This window comes from Homo sapiens, chromosome 3, assembly GCF_000001405.40.
Source record: "Homo sapiens chromosome 3, GRCh38.p14 Primary Assembly".
Taxonomy (NCBI): domain Eukaryota; kingdom Metazoa; phylum Chordata; class Mammalia; order Primates; family Hominidae; genus Homo; species Homo sapiens.
In genome coordinates, this window is record NC_000003.12 from 121926024 (window position 1) to 121945263 (window position 19240).

The 19240-nt window shown below is 40.6% G+C and overlaps 1 protein-coding gene across 4 annotated transcripts in view, besides 1 other annotated feature; it reads left to right on the forward strand.

The window, feature by feature from the left end:
* SLC15A2 (solute carrier family 15 member 2) overlaps positions 1-18165 on the forward strand; it is a 49788-nt gene extending 31623 nt beyond the window's left edge. For 2 of the 4 annotated variants that reach the window (NM_021082.4, NM_001145998.2), the window contains 9 exons: positions 1735-1816; positions 2398-2532; positions 2959-3123; positions 3279-3325; positions 4817-4927; positions 5616-5712; positions 13326-13472; positions 14361-14465; positions 14808-18165. In NM_021082.4, the coding sequence (NP_066568.3) occupies positions 1735-1816; positions 2398-2532; positions 2959-3123; positions 3279-3325; positions 4817-4927; positions 5616-5712; positions 13326-13472; positions 14361-14465; positions 14808-14984 (1066 nt within the window). In that variant the 3' untranslated portion in view covers positions 14985-18165. The other 2 variants (XM_005247722.4, XM_006713736.4) reach the window with 2 other exon arrangements.
* Positions 12493-13073: an enhancer, noted in NCBI's record as "H3K27ac-H3K4me1 hESC enhancer chr3:121657363-121657943 (GRCh37/hg19 assembly coordinates)". NCBI's record gives its function as "activates a minimal SCP1, AML or CMV promoter by ChIP-STARR-seq in naive H9 embryonic stem cells {active_cell/tissue: H9 hESC(naive)}" and the evidence as "EXISTENCE:reporter gene assay evidence [ECO:0000049][PMID:30033119]".
* Positions 18166-19240: the final 1075 nt, after the last annotated feature.

The window sequence follows — 19240 nt, forward strand, 5'->3', positions numbered from 1 at the left end:
TGGGTAAATGTGGTGTATCACAGAGAAGAGCAGTTCAATGTGACTCAAGAACAAGAAGAAAGAAGAATGTATGAAGGGGAGTTCTAGGAAATCCCTTGAAAAGTAATTGGTCATGGAAACATGGATTTAAAAAAGGAAAGTAATTGGGATCAAATCAGGAAAAGTCTTTGATGCAGTTTGAATATTTGTACCCACTCAAATCTCATGTTGAAATGTAATCCCCAATGTTGGATGTTGGAGGTGGGGTCTGGTGGGAGGTAGTCGGATCATGGGGATGAATTCCTCATAAATGGTTTAGTGCTATCCCGTTGGTGCTGTCCTTATGATAGTGAGTTCTAGTGGGATCTGACCATTTAAAAGCATGTAGTATCTCCCTACCCTTCACTTGCTCCTGCTTTCACCATGTGACATGTCTGTTTCTCCAGAGGGTACAAGCCATAAACCTTGGTGGCTTCTACATGGTGTTAAGCCTGCAGGCATACAGAGTGCAAGAATGAAGAATGCTTGGCACCCTTCACCTAGATTTCAGAGGCTGTATGAGAAAGTGTGGGTGTTCATGCAGAAACCGGCTGCAGGGGTGGAGCCCCCAGAGAGTACCTCTACTAGGGCAGTGTGGAGGTAAAATGTGGGGTTGGAGCTCCCACACAGAGTCCCCACAAGGACACTGCCTAGTGCAGCTGTGAGAAGGGGGCCACCATCCTCCAGACCCCAGAATGATAGACCCACTGGCAGCTTGCACCCTGGGCCTGGAAAACCACGGGCACTCAACAACCTGTGAGAGCAGCCACAGGGGCTGAACTCTGCAAAGCCACAAGGGTGGAGCTATCCAAGTCCTTGGGAGCCCACCCCTTGTATTGGTGTGCCCTGAATGTGGGACATGGAGTCAAAGGAGATTATTCTGGAACTTTAAGATTTAATAACTGCCCTGCTGTGTTTCAGACTTGCCTGGGGCCTGTAGCCCATTTGTTTTGGCCAGTTTCTCCCTTTTGGAATGGGAATGTTTACCCAGTATCTATACCCCCATTTTATTTGGGGAGTCAATAAGTTGTTTTGATTTTATAGGCTCATGGGTGGAAGGGACTTGCCTTATTTCAAATGAGACTTTGGACTTGGAACTTTTGATTGAGTTTGTGCTGGAATGAGTTAAAATTTGGGGAACTATTGGGAAGATATAATTGTATTTTGCAATGTGAGAAGGACATGAGATTTTTGGGGGGCTAGAGATGGAATGATATGGTTTGAATATTTGTCCCTGCCAAAATCTCATGTTGAAATGTAATTCCCAGTGATAAAGGTGGGGCCTGGTGGGACATGACTGGATCATGGGAGTGAATTCTCATGAAGGGTTTAGCACCATTCTGTGGTGCTATCTTCATGATAGTGAATGAGTTCTCACAAGATCTGGTCATTTAAAAGTGTGTGGCACCTCCCATCTCCTCGCTTGCTTCTGCTTTCACCATGTGACATGCCTATTCCACCTTTGGCTTCTCCCATGATTGAAAGCTCCTCGATGCTTCACCAGAAGCTGGAAGATGCCAGCACTGTGCTTCCTGTAAAGCTACAGAACCATAAGCCAATTAAACTTCTTTTCTTTATAAATTACCCAGTCTCAGGTATTTCTTTACAGCAATGCAAGAACAGTCTAATGCAGTCTTTAATAATAGGCTACAGAGTTTGGATTTCATCCTTTAGAGTCTAAAGTTTAGATATAATTGTTTCTCCTTTCCACCACAGATCACTTAGGAAAATGGCTGTTGGTATGATCCTAGCATGCCTGGCATTTGCAGTTGCGGCAGCTGTAGAGATAAAAATAAATGTGAGTTCAGTAATTCTTAAGCTCTATGAGGGCAGGATCATATCTTTCTTATTTGCTCTTTTGACTTGTTCAGTCATGATTCCCTGGGACCTAGCACAGTACCTGTTTTATAAGAGGTGCATCATAAGTATTTGTGATAAATAAGTAGATACAGGGGTAAAACAGCAATGCAAAATGAGGCCCACCTCCCACCTGAGTGACTCAGAATGTATTTTCAGGGAATTCTCAAACACTAATATCCAAGAGAGCCCTCTCCTTAGGGAACACAGGCTTATGTGATGCCTTTCTACATACTCAAGTAAAAACCTTTTGGCAGATTGAATAGCCACTATTACGGATGAGGCCACAGCTGAGTCAAAAAGCATCGAGTTTGTAAGCTGGCATTGGTACTTGCTACAATGAGCTGATGTTTCCCTCTCCAAGCTGCCTTTAGAGTTTTCTAAGCCAAATATTTTTCAGAGGGAGAAAACTATGTCTACTTGGCTAGTGGACTAGGCTGTCAGAAACAACTGAGATATGTGTTGCCATTGTATCTGAAGGATTATTTGTTGGTGATTCTGACATGTGTTCTTTGCTCTAAGGAAATGGCCCCAGCCCAGCCAGGTCCCCAGGAGGTTTTCCTACAAGTCTTGAATCTGGCAGATGATGAGGTGAAGGTGACAGTGGTGGGAAATGAAAACAATTCTCTGTTGATAGAGTCCATCAAATCCTTTCAGGTGAGGTGTGTACCTGAATGAATTAGAAACTCTGTATGCTATATTGATCTTGATTTTTCCTTAACATTAATTGTATCATAAGCATCTTCCCATGTCTTTAGATAATCTTTGAGCACATGATTTTAATGGGCATATAATATTCCATTCTATAGATATACCATAGTTTATTTAGACATTTCCACATAGGTATTCCGTTTTTATTATTATACATAATCCTACAATGAACATTCTTATTCATAAATATTTATGCATGGCTCTGATTATTTCTTAGGGTAAATTCCAAGAAATAAAATGGCTAGGTTAAAGAAAGGAATTACTAGGTTGAAAGTGTCTGATGAGGTCACCTACCCTGAGATGCTACATCGTGATGTCCAATATGCAGTAGAAGGTGTACGTGACCTTCATTTTATATTCTTCATTTTACAGAAAACACCACACTATTCCAAACTGCACCTGAAAACAAAAAGCCAGGATTTTCACTTCCACCTGAAATATCACAATTTGTCTCTCTACACTGAGCATTCTGTGCAGGAGAAGAACTGGTACAGTCTTGTCATTCGTGAAGATGGGAACAGTATCTCCAGCATGATGGTAATTTGAGGAATTGCCTGTGTTTTCAGTTGTCATCTCAAAGTAATATGACTGTCTCATCAACATCTTACCAAGGATCTGCCTGATGATCAAATTTTCTGAGTATAGGTCTTATTTCATCAGCTGTTACTGATTTTTACTTTCCTCTGTTGTAGGTAAAGGATACAGAAAGCAGAACAACCAATGGGATGACAACCGTGAGGTTTGAATGTCAATGAGATTCCAGGCCACTCTGTTTTCTTGAATCTTGGATCTCTTCTAATCTTTGGGGCTGCATTCTACTTGTTCTGAACAGGAATTCCCTCTCGTAGAATGCCAGGGGCACTGGTGTCAAAAGGCATTTTCTAGGACAGTGAGAGGCAGATAGGCTTCTTTTCTCATGTGGGATTCGAAGATGACTCTATCTGTGTATGCCCCCTGTACTCTGGGGCATAAATCCTTTCTGCTGAATTTTATCTATTTATCTTGCTCTCAGGAAAATAACTGAGTACTTTTCTCTCTGTGATCGCCAGAGAGAAATTTGGAAGTGAGAAAATAATCCTCCCTTCATTTTTGATAGTTGAATATATATCTTTTAAAGTATAGTTTTTATTATAAGCCTGTAGAGGCATCATGGTATAGCACACATTTGGAGTCAAAAGACTTAGTTTTGAATCCAGATAAGGCTGAAGGGTCTTGTCAAATGGTGAGGGACAGTTACAGAGATGGAGTACCCAAGAGGACATGTGTTCTCTGTGGCTGGTATTAGATATGAAATGGACAGATACACAGGTCTATGGCCACCAAGGTCAAGTGGTTGCTGTTGAGAATAGCATTTTAGTGGAGAACTTTTAGTGAAAAGTCTGGATTTCACTGAAGGTTGGGACAGTCATAATAACTTGCTTTTGAATATGCTTCAAAAAAAGTAAACAGCTCAAAATAAGACAATGTGAGGTCAGAGAGCCATGGGCCCCCAGAAGGGGCATTTTCTAGGTCAGTGTAGAATGATCTAAAGTCTAGGAATCAACATTCAGGACTCTAAAGGGAAATGTCCTTCTTATTCCTGGGGCCAGAGACCAAATCAAAAGCTATCAAAACAGAAATGTACCAAAACCCATCCTGAGAGGACAATCTAGGTGCCAGGTTCAGAAAAATAGAAAGATGGTCTTGGAAGGGTCCAAAGTTTCTGCAGACTCCAAAACAATTATAATAACCTACTCTGGGCTGGGAGTCTGAGTTTTGCATAGGTCACATTGGACTTCATTTATAAGAGGATAAGATATCAGTTTTATGTAAATACTATCATATCTTTATATATGCATAATTATCTTATTTTTCTTAGTAAAGTCTCAGTTGATAGATTCCACCATTATAAGGGAAATAAATTAGATGCACCTAAGCTGGATTAGTGAGGAAACTCAGATTTCCATGAATGATCATGATAGTGTCCGTCTAGCTAGAGGTCTGGTGAGGATGTGGCAGATAAAAGTTCAAGAAAAAGAAACTTAGGGACAGCTAAGACTATGGATTACTTTTTACGTGTGGGTTCATTCGTCTAGTTAACAATATACATTAGGTACCTTTTATGTGCCAGCCACTATCCTAGGCACCTGGGCACTGGGGATATAGTTATACCCAAAACATAAAAGGCCCCTAACCTCTTTTATCAGGTGTTCCTGTTTGTTTGATATGTAAATAATATCTCTACCCTCAGGTTTGTTAACACTTTGCATAAAGATGTCAACATCTCCCTGAGTACAGATACCTCTCTCAATGTTGGTGAAGACTATGGTGTGTCTGCTTATAGAACTGTGCAAAGAGGAGAGTAAGTGCATTGCCCCTGTGGACATTTTACTTTTGTCAATAATTGTTTTTTAAGTGCTATCTTTGTATATAGGTGGGGAACTTAGGTGCATGTGGTCTAATTTTGAGTATAGACGCACTACTGATCTTTTCCAACTCTTGCTTCCTTCCCTCAGTCTCACTTTTTTTCTGCACAGATATGTTGAGATCACGATTGCCGTGAAGACCACACTATATAGTTAACACAGCCCATCTCTGTATAGTTAACACAGTCCGTCTCTGTGAGTTTCTCAAAGTTTATTATTGGTTTCCATTTCTACTAAAGAAGGTACTTTGGTACCTTACACTGGCACTTCATTACTTAGAGCTTATCTTCTCAGGTTCACTGTTATAGCCTGTTCTACTAAGTCATAAGATTTGCATGAGGAAAATTCACATGGTACTTAAGTTAACAAAAGAATATGATTTGTAACTTCTTTATTTAGGTTGAATATTTTAGAAAATACCTGACAAGCAATAAAGAGCTCAAATCAGGGACAGAAGCCTGGCATGAAAATAACCTACTCCAAGAAACATTTCTCTTCAAAGATAATTAGTGGCTTCACTGCTTTCCTCACCATCAGTAGAGAGATGAGATCACTTTCACCTGGAGATGGGAATGCTTTTCCAAGCCTTGATATTTATTCTAACCTAAATTCATCCTGTTCCAGATACCCTGCAGTGCACTGTAGAACAGAAGATAAGAACTTTTCTCTGAATTTGGGTCTTCTAGACTTTGGTGCAGCATATCTGTTTGTTATTACTAATGTAAGTAGCTCACAGCCACCTCTTTACCCTCTCTCCATATACATATATCTCCTGAGATCCTCTAGGCAGGGGCAGAAAACAAAAGAGAAGACTCTGTGGCAAAGCAGACACGTATATTTATTTCTAGCATAAGATGACAGGTTCTACAGTGACTTTAATTATTTTTATTTTTATTTTTTTTGAGACAGAGTTTCGCTCTCATCGCGCAGGCTGGAGTGCTGTGGCACCATCTCGACTCACTGCAACCTCTGCCTCCCGGGTTAAAGTGATTCTCCTGCCTCAACCTCCCCGAGTATCTGGGATTACAGGCACCCACCACCACCATGCCCAGCTAATTTTTGTATTTTTAGTAGAGATGGGGTTTTGCCGTGTTGGCCAGGCTGGTCTCAAACTCCTGACCTCAGATGATCCACCAGCCTCAGCCTCCCAAAGTGTTGAGATTACAAGCGTGAGTCACCGCACCTGGCTCTACAGTGACTTTAGAAAGCCCACTGTCTCTGTAGGGGTTGTTAAGAGATAACATCAACAACAAGCAAAGGGTCTTGGGGAAGGAGAAACATAATTTATCTTGAGCCATCACTGTGAGATGCCACAGCTTGCTCCAGTCTTTTTATGTCTCCAATCAAACACAAGTTATTTATGAAAAAGTACTAATGTCTTCTTGGCCAGCTTCATATGCAGATCTTCTCACTCTCTGGAAATTTGATCTGCTAGCATGTCACAGTCTGAAATACTGAAACTGATAATAATGTCAATCCCTACACAAAGTTTGGGGATCAGTTAACTGTGATCTGTCAAAAACAATTGTCCTAGCAGTCAGGGCAGAGTAACTGATTTTAATTTTGATGTCAATCTTGACTTTAATTTTGTTATTTCATTATTATTCATACTGTATTAAAGACTAAAAGATAGTGAATAAAAAAAAGAGAGAACATTTCTAGAGGTTTGATGAGAACCCAATCTACAAAGTTCTATTTATTTTACTAATTAATTAATTTAATTAACTTGATCCCTTTGGTGTGCCATTTTTTTTCTATTATTATACTTTAAGTTTTAGGGTACATGTGCACATTGTGCAGGTTAGTTACATATGTATACATGTGCCATGCTGGTGCGCTGCACCCACTAACTCGTCATCTAGCATTAGGTATATCTCCCAGTGCTATCCCTCCCCCCTCCGCGCACCCCACAACAGTCCCCAGAGTGTGATGTTCCCCTTCCTGTGTCCATGTGATCTCATTGTTCAATTCCCACCTATGAGTGAGAATATGCGGTGTTTGGTTTTTTGTTCTTGCGATAGTTTACTGAGAATGATGATTTCCAATTTCATCCATGTCCCTACAAAGGACATGAACTCATCATTTTTTATGGCTGCATAGTATTCCATGGTGTATATGTGCCACATTTTCTTAATCCAGTCTATCATTGTTGGACATTTGGGTTGGTTCCAAGTCTTTGCTATTGTGAATAATGCCGCAATAAACATATGTGTGCATGTGTCTTTATAGCAGCATGATTTACAGTCCTTTGGGTATAAACCCAGTAATGGGATGGCTGGGTCAAATAGTATTTCTAGTTCTAGATCCCTGAGGAATCGCCACACTGACTTCCACAATGGTTGAACTAGTTTACAGTCCCACCAACAGTGTAAAAGTGTTCCTATTTCTCCACATCCTCTCCAGCACCTGTTGTTTCCTGACTTTTTAATGATTGCCATTCTAACTGATGTGAGATGGTATCTCATTGTGGTTTTGATTTGCATTTCTCTGATGGCCAGTGATGATGAGCATTTTTTCACGTGTTTTTTGGCTGCATAAATGTCTTCTTTTGAGAAGTGTCTGTTCATGTCCTTCGCCCACTTTTTGATGGGGTTGTTTGTTTTTTTCTTGTAAATTTGTTTGAGTTCATTGTAGATTCTGGATATTAGCCCTTTGTCAGATGAGTAGGTTGCGAAAATTTTCTCCCATTTTTTAGGTTGCCTATTCACTCTGATGGTAGTTTCTTTTGCTGTGCAGAAGCTCTTTAGTTTAATTAGATCCCATTTGTCAATTTTGGCTTTTGTTGCCATTGCTTTTGGTGTTTTAGACATGAAGTCCTTGCCCATGCCTATGTCCTGAATGGTAATGCCTAGGTTTTCTTCTAGGGTTTTTATGGTTTTAGGTCTAACGTTTAAGTCTTTAATCCATCTTGAATTGATTTTTGTATAAGGTGTAAGGAAGGGATCCAGTTTCAGCTTTCTACATATGGCCAGCCAGTTTTCCCAGCACCATTTATTAAATAGGGAATCCTTTCCCCATTGCTTGTTTTTCTCAGGTTTGTCAAAGATCAGATAGTTGTAGATATGTGGCATTATTTCTGAGGGCTCTGTTCTGTTCCATTGATCTATATCTCTGTTTTGGTACCAGTAACATGCTGTTTTGATTACTGTAGCCTTGTAGTATAGTTTGAAGTCAGGTAGTGTGATGCCTCCAGCTTTGTTCTTTTGGCTTAGGATTGACTTGGCAATGCGGGCTCTTTTTTGGTTCCATATGAACTGTAAAGTAGTTTTTTCCAATTCTTTGAAGAAAGTCATTGGTAGCTTGATGGGGATGGCATTGAATCTATAAATTACCTTGGGCAGTATGGCCATTTTCACAATATTGATTCTTCCTACCCATGAGCATGGAATGTTCTTCCATTTGTTTGTATCCTCTTTTATTTCCTTGAGCAGTGGATTGTAGTTCTCCTTGAAGAGGTCCTTCACATCCCTTGTAAGTTGGATTCCTAGGTATTTTATTCTCTTTGAAGCAATTGTGAATGGGAGTTCACTCATGATTTGGCTCTCTGTTTGTCTGTTATTGGTGTATAAGAATGCTTGTGATTTTTGTACATTGATTTTGTATCCTGAGACTTTGCTGAAGTTGCTTATCAGCTTAAGGAGATTTGGGGCTGAGACAATGGGGTTTTCTAGATATACAATCATGTCGTCTGCAAATAGGGACAATTTGACTTCCTCTTTTCCTAATTGAATACCCTTTATTTCCTTCTCCTGCCTGATTGCCCTGGCCAGAACTTCCAACACTATGTTGAATAGGAGTGGAGAGAGAGGGCATCCCTGTCTTGTGCCAGTTTTCAAAGGGAATGCTTCCAGTTTTTGCCCATTCAGTATGATATTGGCTGTGGGTTTGTCATAGATAGCTCTTATTATTTTGAAATACATCCCATCAATACCTAATTTATTGAGAGTTTTTAGCATGAAGCGTTGTTGAATTTTGTCAAAGGCCTTTTCTGCATCTATTGAGATAATCATGTGGTTTTTGTCTTTGTTTCTGTTTATATGCTGGATTACATTTATTGATTTTCGTATATTGAACCAGCCTTGCATCCCAGGGATGAAGCCCACTTGATCATGGTGGATAAGCTTTTTGATGTGCTGCTGGATTCGTTTTGCCAGTATTTTATTGAGGATTTTTGCATCCATGTTCATCGAGGATATTGGTCTAAAATTCTCTTTTTTGGTTGTGTCTCTGCCCGGCTTTGGTATCAGAATGATGCTGGCCTCATAAAATGAGTTAGGGAGGATTCCCTCTTTTTCTATTGATTGGAATAGTTTCAGAAGGAATGGTATCAGTTCCTCCTTGTATCTCTGGTAGAATTCGGCTGTGAATCCATCTGGTCCTGGACTCTTTTTGGTTGGTAAGCTATTGATTATTGCCACAATTTCACATCCTGTTATTGGTCTATTCAGAGATTCAACTTCTTCCTGGTTTAGTCTTGGGAGGGTGTATGTGTCCAGGAATTTATCCATTTCTTCTAGACTTTCTAGTTTATTTGTGTAGAGGTGTTTGTAGTATTCTCTGATGGTAGTTTGTATTTCTGTGGGATTGGTGGTGATATCTCCTTTATCATTTTTTATTGCGTCTATTTGATTCTTCTCTCTTTTTTTCTTTATTAGTCTTGCTAGCAGTCTATCAATTTTGTTGATCCTTTCAAAAAACCAGCTCCTGGATTCATTAATTTTTTGAAGGGTTTTTTGTGTCTCTATTTCCTTTAGTTCTGCTCTGATTTTAGTTATTTCTTGCCTTCTGCTAGCTTTTGAATGTGTTTGCTCTTGCTTTTCTAGTTCTTTTAATTGTGATGTTAGGGTGTCAATTTTGAATCTTTCCTGCTTTCTCTTGTGGGCATTTAGTGCTATAAATTTCCTTCTACACACTGCTTTGAATGTGTCCCAGAGATTCTGGTATGTTGTGTCTTTGTTCTCGTTGGTTTCAAAGAACATCTTTATTTCTGCCTTCATTTCGTGATGTACCCAGTAGTCATTCAGGAGCAGGTTTTTCAGTTTCCATGCAGTTGAGCAGTTTTGAGTGAGATTCTTAATCCTGAGTTCTAGTTGGATTGAACTGTGGTCTGAGAGATAGTTTGTTATAATTTCTATTCTTTTACATTTGCCGAGGAGAGCTTTACTTCCAACTATGTGGTCAATTTTGGAATAGGTGTGGTGTGGTGCTGAAAAAAATGTACATTCTGTTGATTTGGGGTGGAGAGTTCTGTAGATGTCTATTAGGTCTGCTTGGTGCAGAGCTGAGTTCAATTCCTGGGTGTCCTTGTTGACTTTCTGTCTCTTTGATCTGTCTAATGTTGACAGTGGGGTGTTAAAGTCTCCCATTATTAATGTGTGGGAGTCTCAGTCTCTTTGTGGGTCACTGAGGACTTGCTTTATGACTCTGGGTGCTCCTGTATTGGGTGCATATATATTTAGGATAGTTAGCTCTTCTTGTTGAATTGATCCCTTTACCATTATGTAATGGCCTTCTTTGTCTCTTTTGATCTTTGTTGGTTTAAAGTCTGTTTTATCAGAGACTAGGATTGCAACCCCTGCATTTTTTTTTTTCCATTTGCTTGGTAGATCTTCCTCCACCCTTTTATTTTGAGCCTATGTGTGTCTCTGCACGTGAGATGGGTTTCCTGAATACAGCACACTGATGGGTCTTGACTCTTTATCCAATTTGCCAGTCTGTGTCTTTTAATTGGAGCATTTAGTCCATTTACATTTAAAGTTAATATTGTTATGTGTGAATTTGATCCTGTCATTATGATGTTAGCTGGTTATTTTGCTCGTTAGTTGATGCAGTTTCTTCCTAGTCTCGATGGTCTTTACATTTTGGCATGATTTTGCAGCGGCTGGTACCGGTTGTTCCTTTCCATGTTTAGCACTTCCTTCAGGAGCTCTTTTAGGGCAGGCCTGGTGGTGACAAAATCTCTCAGCATTTGCTTGCCTGTAAAGGATGTTATTTCTCCTTCACTTATGAAGCTTAGTTTGGCTGGATATGAAATTCTGGGTTGAAAATTCTTTTCTTTAAGAATGTTGAATATTGGCCCCCACTCTCTTCTGGCTTGTAGGGTTTCTGCCGAGAGATCCGCTGTTAGTCTGATGGGCTTCCCTTTGAGGGTAACCCGACCTTTCTCTCTGGCTGCCCTTAACATTTTTTCCTTCATTTCAACTTTGGTGAATCTGACAATTATGTGTCTTGGAGTTGCTCTTCTCGAGGAGTATCTTTGTGGCGTTCTCTGTATTTCCTGAATCTGAACGTTGGCCTGCCTTGCTAGATTGGGGAAGTTCTCCTGGATAATATCCTGCAGAGTGTTTTCCAACTTGGTTCCATTCTCCCCATCACTTTCAGGTACACCAATCAGACGTAGATTTGGTCTTTTCACATAGTCCCATATTTCTTGGAGGCTTTGCTCGTTTCTTTTTATTCTTTTTTCTCTAAACTTCCCTTCTCGCTTCATTTCATTCATTTCATCTTCCATTGCTGATACCCTTTCTTCCAGTGGATCGCATCGGCTCCTGAGGCTTCTGCATTCTTCACGTAGTTCTCGAGCCTTGGTTTTCAGCTCCATCAGCTCCTTTAAGCACTTCTCTGTATTGGTTATTTTAGTTATACATTCCTCTAAATTTTTTTCAAAGTTTTCAATTTCTTTGCCTTTGGTTTGAATGTCCTCTCATAGCTCAGAGTAATTTGATTGCCTGAAGCCTTCTTCTCTCAGCTCATCAAAGTCATTCTCTATCCGGCTTTGTTCCGTTGCTGATGAGGAACTGCGTTCCTTTGGAGGAGGAGAGGTGCTCTGCTTTTTAGAGTTTCCAGTTTTTCTGTTCTGTTTTTTCCCCATCTTTGTGGTTTTATCTACTTTTGGTCTTTGATGATGGTGATGTACAGATGGGTTTTTGGTGTGGATGTCCTTTCTGTTTGTTAGTTTTCCTTCTAACAGACAGGACCCTCAGCTGCAGGTCTGTTGGAGTACCTGGCCATGTGAGGTGTCAGTCTGCCCCTGCTGGGGGGTGCCTCCCAGTTAGGCTGCTCAGGGGTCAGGGGTCAGGGACCCACTTGAGGAGGCAGTCTGCCCGTTCTCAGATCTCCAGCTGCATGCTGGGAGAACCACTGCTCTCTTCAAAGCTGTCAGACAGGGACATTTAAGTCTGCAGAGGTTACTGCTGTCTTTTTGTTTGTCTGTGCCCTGCCCCCAGAGGTGGAGCCTACAGAGGCAGGCAGGCCGCCTTGAGCTGTGGTGGGCTCCACCCAGTTGGAGCTTCTCGGCTGCTTTGTTTACCTAAGCAAGCCTGGGCAATGGCGGGCGCCCCTCCCCCAGCCTCGCTGCCACCTTGCATTTGATCTCAGACTGCTGTGCTAGCAATCAGCGAGACTCCGTGGGCGTAGGACCCTCCCAGCCAGGTGTGGGATATAATCTCGTGGTGCGCCGTTTTTTAAGCCCGTCGGAAAAGCGCAGTATTCCGGTGGGAGTGACCCGATTTTCCAGGTGCCGTCTGTCACCCCTTTCTTTGACTAGGAAAGGGAACTCCCTGACCCCTCGCACTTCCCGAGTGAGGCAATGCCTCGCCCTGCTTTGGCTCGCACACGGTGTGCTGCACCCACTGACCTGCGCCCACTGTCTGGCACTCCCTAGTGAGATGAGCCCGGTACCTCAGATGGAAACGCAGAAATCACCCGTCTTCTGCATTGCTCACGCTGGGAACTGTAGACCGGAGCTGTTCCTATTCGGCCATCTTGGCTCCAGCCACCTCCATGTCTCTTTTAACCCTCCTGGCCAAAAGCAGCAACACTTTAACCCTTGTTGCAAAAGAATCTGTTCTTCTAATCTTGTTCATTTTCTTCAATTTCCACTACTTCTTTTCTACCAGGCTGATAACCATAGCAGGCCTGGGCATAGCCTGAGAAGTATAATCTCTGCTCAAAGAATAAACACACCCTTACCAAGGGAATTATCTGAAAATTTATTTTGTTTGTGTAATTCAGATGCCATTTTATGTTTAAAATGTTGTCCAGGATCAAAATGCCTGATAGGGCAAAACGGTGGAAATCCAAACTGCAATATCAAAATATTCTCTTATTTAAAGTCTCTGTCAATAATGATATCTGATTGAATCTAGGCGAGTGAGCATAATATTACGAAAAGAAGTTTTGAAAAGCTGGAATTGTGTAGAAATGCTCAATTTCCTGAAAATGGCTGAAGAATGAAAATACAAAAAGGATGGATATAAGATCGTAGAATGCTGTAGTTAGAAATATTTACTTGAGACTACTGACAAGTCCATTTCCATTTTCTCTTTCCCTAAGAACACCAATCAGGGTCTTCAGGCCTGGAAGATTGAAGACATTCCAGCCAACAAAATGTCCATTGCGTGGCAGCTACCACAATATGCCCTGGTTACAGCTGGGGAGGTCATGTTCTCTGTCACAGGTCTTGAGTTTTCTTATTCTCAGGTAAGTTTTTGCAAATAGAAGGTAGAAATTGAGGCATTGCTTGAAGGACAATGAATTTTAATTCTAGCACTGACTTAAATAGGTATGTTATCTCTTTTGGCCTTGGGTACCTTATTTATGACCCTGAACATATATGACCTGAACATCTTAACTCCCCAGGTCATGACAGTACAGCATGGGAGTCTATGATTTTGGGGTTCTAGGAAAGAGATTAAAGATTAAAATGAAGAGCTGCAGAGTCAGACTTCCCGTGTTCAAATTTTGGCTGCATGACCTATTGTGTAACCTTGAGCAAGTAAATTACTATCTCTGTAATGCTGTCGCCCAGGCTGGAGTGCAGTGGCGCGATCTCAGCTCACTGCATTCCAGCCTGAGCGACAGAGCGAGACTCCATCTGCCTCCCCGGCTCAAGCGATTCTCCTGCCTCAGCCTCTTGAGTAGCTGGGATTATAGGCGCACACCACCATTCCTGGCTAATTTTTGTATTTTTAGTAGAGACAGGGTTTCACCATGTTGGCCAGGCTGATCTCTAACTCCTGACCTTGGATGATCTGCCCACCTTGGCCTCCCAAAGTGCTAGGATTACAGGCTTGAGCTACTGCGCCCAGTCTGTAATACTATTTTTTAAATGTATAAGAATACGAATAGAACTTATCTCTTAGGATTGTAATGAAGATTATATGACATAATGAGTTTAAATATATTCAGTTAGGAGCTTCATCTTATTCTTACTGTTTACATTATTAACACCCTCTGAATCAATGTGATAGCTGAACTTAATAAGAGAAGTTCTAACTTGGAAGCTTTTGTGGGAGAAGTTTCCTGGATGCATGGGGCATGAGGGCAGTGAAGGGGGTTTGTTTACTTTCAAACTTGTGTCATCCCCAGGCTCCCTCTAGCATGAAATCTGTGCTCCAGGCAGCTTGGCTATTGACAATTGCAGTTGGGAATATCATCGTGCTTGTTGTGGCACAGTTCAGTGGCCTGGTACAGGTATGGATCTGAGGGAAGCAGGATTCATTTCTACTCAAGTTTTTCCTCCAGCTTTCTCTTCTCCCTTTCCCCCATCTCTCTGCTTCCCACATTCCCCATTCAGTGCTGTGACATGAAATGGGTTAGATATACAGACTTTACCAGGAAAATAGACATATGTAAGTGGCAATAATGACTACAATATACCTATGTGAGGAGAGGCCAGTGAACCCAGTCTTTGTCCAGCAAAAGTCTGGTTAAACTGGTGATCCCAGGTCAGTCTGCTCCCCACTCCTCATCCTGTAAAGATCTCTTTAGTTTCAGGTTTCTCCATATTCTTCTCATATTTATTTCCCCCTGCAGTGGGCCGAATTCATTTTGTTTTCCTGCCTCCTGCTGGTGATCTGCCTGATCTTCTCCATCATGGGCTACTACTATGTTCCTGTAAAGACAGAGGATATGCGGGGTCCAGCAGATAAGCACATTCCTCACATCCAGGGGAACATGATCAAACTAGAGACCAAGAAGACAAAACTCTGATGACTCCCTAGATTCTGTCCTGACCCCAATTCCTGGCCCTGTCTTGAAGCATTTTTTTTCTTCTACTGGATTAGACAAGAGAGATAGCAGCATATCAGAGCTGATCTCCTCCACCTTTCTCCAATGACAGAAGTTCCAGGACTGGTTTTCCAGTACATCTTTAAACAAGGCCCCAGAGACTCTATGTCTGCCCGTCCATCAGTGAACTCATTAAAACTTGTGCAGTGTTGCTGGAGCTGGCCTGGTGTCTCCAAATGACCATGAAAATACACACGTATAATGGAGATCATTCTCTGTGGGTATGCAAAGTTATGGGAATTCCTTTATAGGTAACTGCCATTTAGGACTGATGGCCCTAATTTTTGAGGTGCTGATTTAGAGGCAAAATTGCAGAATAACAAAGAAATGGTATTTCAAGTTTTTTTTTTTATAAGCAATGTAATTATGCTATTCACAGGGGCCTCAAGAATTGGTATGTATGATGTGATCTGGTCCAGCCAGGGCCTGGCTTGTCAGCTCTCTAGGTTTGATATGACTTTAGTAAATTTGTCAATATAGATGGTAGGAAGCAGAATGCCATTTTATTAAAACACAGGAGAAGTTATATCTCTCTGATTATGATAGTATTTTATTTACTTATCCAAACCCTCCTTTCTCAGTATGGATAGATCATGGAAACCAGATTAGAGATAGTAAGCATTAGTAAACATTGTTCTGGAGAACAGGAACAGGTGTAAGTTGTAGAAATCCTGAAGAGCCAGTCATTCTTTTACAGAGTACATTCTTCTTAGCCTCTATGGCGCTGGTCTATGCCCTTCAGTGAACAGTTGTATAAACAATAATTATAATTTGCAACCTTGTCTTGTCAACCTTGCTGATCCAGCTTTTTCTTATTATTACACCTTGTCTTGCTTATTGCAGCAAATATTCAATAACAACAATGTTTCTATAAGTCCAACTTCCTTTATTAATGTTTCCATTTAGCCTCAAAAATATCAAAGTAGTTCCTTTTTGATGTTGTTTTCCTGATTTACTTTTCCCATAAGTTTTAAATACCATTTCTGCCTTGAAGCCTAGAAATTTTCTTTTTATTCAAAAAAAGTTACATTAATGCTCTAGGTTTGAGGTTCTAAAATGGAAATGTCAATAGAGGAGCATGGTCCTATGTGAGGTTCCTATCAAAATTTGTGGGAGTAGGGATGGTAGAGCATGAGGGTTTTGTTTGTGTATGTGTATGGTCATGAAAAAAAATTGAGAAACATTACCTCATACACAATGAATGAATCAGAGGACAGACACGGGAATGGCACGACTGTGCAGTGTGTTACTAGGAAAAAAGTTCAGAATCACTGTTCTAGAGAGCTTCATTTCCATTGGTTTTAAAACATTATTCTCATGTAGAACAGTGTTGGGTCTCATACTGTTAATGTTAATACGTAACAATGTTCATGTTAACAGGCACCTGTTAATATTAACAGATAATGTTACTGTTAACAGGTAAGAGAAATTGCTCTAAGTGCCCAAACTTTATATACTTCAGTTTTAATGACAAGCATTTCAGAAATATAAGAGCGGCAGCCAGACCAACCAGTTTTTCCAGATATCTTGATGTGAACCTGACCCTACTCCTTTAGAAGACAGCCTGTTCATTTTTAAATAGCTTTAACCCAAACTGTTCTATGACCATTGTTTCAAGAGACATTAACACAGTTCTGTAAATAGAAGTGTCTATGGACAAATAAGTTTGGGAAATGTGGCATACTGTATCCTTTTCTTAACATTTGCATATTAAAGACTCTGAGATATCCTGCAGTAAAGACACAAGATACCTTGTTTAAATTAACATGTACGCTGCAGAACATTGGTTTGGAAAAAACTGTTGAGCAGTTCTTCCTTGTAAGTGCTGAGCTTCCTCTCTGAAACCTCCTACCATTGTTTTTTTTCCCCTGTAGCTAACAAGAATAAGTATAACAGCCGGCCAGGCACAGTGGCTCATGCCTGTAATCCCAGCACTTTGGGAGGCTGAGACAGGTGGATCACCTGAGGTCAGGAGTTCGAGACCAGCCTGGCCAACATGGTGAAACCGTGTCTCTACTAAAAGTACAAAAATTAGCCAGGTGTGATGGCAGGTGCCTGTAATCCCAGCTACTCGGGAGGCTGAAGCAGAAGAATTGCTTGAACCCGGGAGGCAGAGGTTGCAATGAGCCGAGATCACGCCATCACACTCTAGCCTGGGGGACAAGAGTGAGACTTCATCTAAAAAAAAAAAGAAAAGAATATGTATACCCCCTTTTTCATGTGGCAGATGTTTAGCTATTTGGGGAGAACTTTCATGGCTCTTCCCTAATCATCAAGTATTCAAGGTAAAGATTCTCGGTTCCTGTAATGGTTCCTCACCAGGCATAATTTGTCCTTTTACCATCCTACTTTCTGTCTTCTGAAAAACATTCTTTATCTGAAATACAGCAATTAATATTAAGATATCTTAATATGAAGTGCCTGGAGTCAAATATAACATTCCAAAGTAGTCTGACTGGAAGAACTAGCACCTGCCTTTCTTCAAACAATGCACTTCTGTTAATGCAGTGTAAGGTAACATGAGTTGTTTTTGGAAACTACATCATAATGTGGGCTTACATTCTAGCACTTATCACTTAATGACAGGGATACATTTGAGGAATGCATTGTTAGGCAATTTTGTCATTATGCAAACATCATAGAGTGTACTTACACAAACCTATGGTATAGCCTACTACACATCTAAGTTATATGGTATAGACTGTTTCTCCAGCTATATGGTGTAGACTGTTTCTCCTAGGCTACAAACCTGCACAGCATGTTACTGTATTAAATGCTGTAGGCAATTGTAACACAATGGTATTTTTATACTTAAACATATCTAAACATAGAAACGGTACAAAAAACTTTACACATTATATAGATGTATCAAATTATTCATATGTGCTCTGAAAATGTCTATATCTGTTATGTATCAATTTTTTAAAAAGTGAATGACATAATTCATTTGAAAAAATGTGGACACACAAATTGGAAAAGAGGTATAAATGCAGTATTATAATCTAATGGGACCACCATCACATATTTGGTCTGTCATTGACTGAAACTGCAATATAGAGTTTTTCTTAACATTTGCATATTAAAGACTCTGACTATATATGGACATATATGACTGTCACCATTGTAAGACATTTTGATGTTATTCTAAGTGACATGTTAAACCATTGGAAGTTTAGAACATGAGAGTGACATAATGTGATCATTTAAGATCACTTTGGCTGCTAAGGGGAGAATTATCTATAGTCAGGAAGGAAAAGAAGTAAGGAGTTAAGTTAGGAGGCTTTTGCAATAGTTCAGGCAATAGATGGTAGTGACTTGGACAAGGTGATAGTAGTGGAGGTGGAGAGAAATGGTTTGACTTGGAATTAAACTTTAAGCTAGAACTGACAAGATTTGAGTGTAGTTTGGATACACAATTTAAAAGAAAGAAATGCGCCAGATGTGGTGCCTTACACCTGTAATCTCAATTCTTTGCAAGGATAAGGCAGGAAGATTCTTTGAAGCCGGGAGTTCAAGACCACTCTAGGCAACATAATGAGACCCCCTCTCTACAAGAAATAAAAATAAAAAAATTAGCCGGGTGTGGTGGTGTGCACCTGCAACCCCAGCTTCTCAGGAGGCTGAGGCAGAACAATCCCTTGAGCCCAGGTGCTTAAAGCTGCAATGAGCTATGATCACACCACTGTACTCCAGCCTGGACAATAGGACCCTGTCTCAAAATGAAAGAAGCGGTGGGGGGTGGAGAGAGAGAGAGAAAGGAAGGAAGGAAGGAAGGAAGCAAGGAAGGAAGGAAGGAAGGAAGGAAAAAGAAAAGAAAAAGAAAGAAAGAAAAAAGCTCACTCCTAGATTTGGTCCTAAGTAGTAAGGATGAATCAGGATGCAATTTTCTAGAAATAGCAAAGACTAGGATAAGAAAAGTTTTCTGGTATGAGTTTTGTTTTGGACATGTTGAGCTTCTACCCATGCTAATGGATATCCAATTAGAGACATTAAGTTAGCAGTTTCATATATGAGTCTGAAGATCAGGTAAGAGGTTGGAGCTAGAAACATAAACTTGAGAATCATCAGCATATATATGGTATTTAAAGCCATCAAACTGGAAGAGATTTCCCAAGAAGTGAATGTGTATAGAGAAATGATGAGCAAGAAGGACAGTTTGACAAGAATAAGGGGCAAAG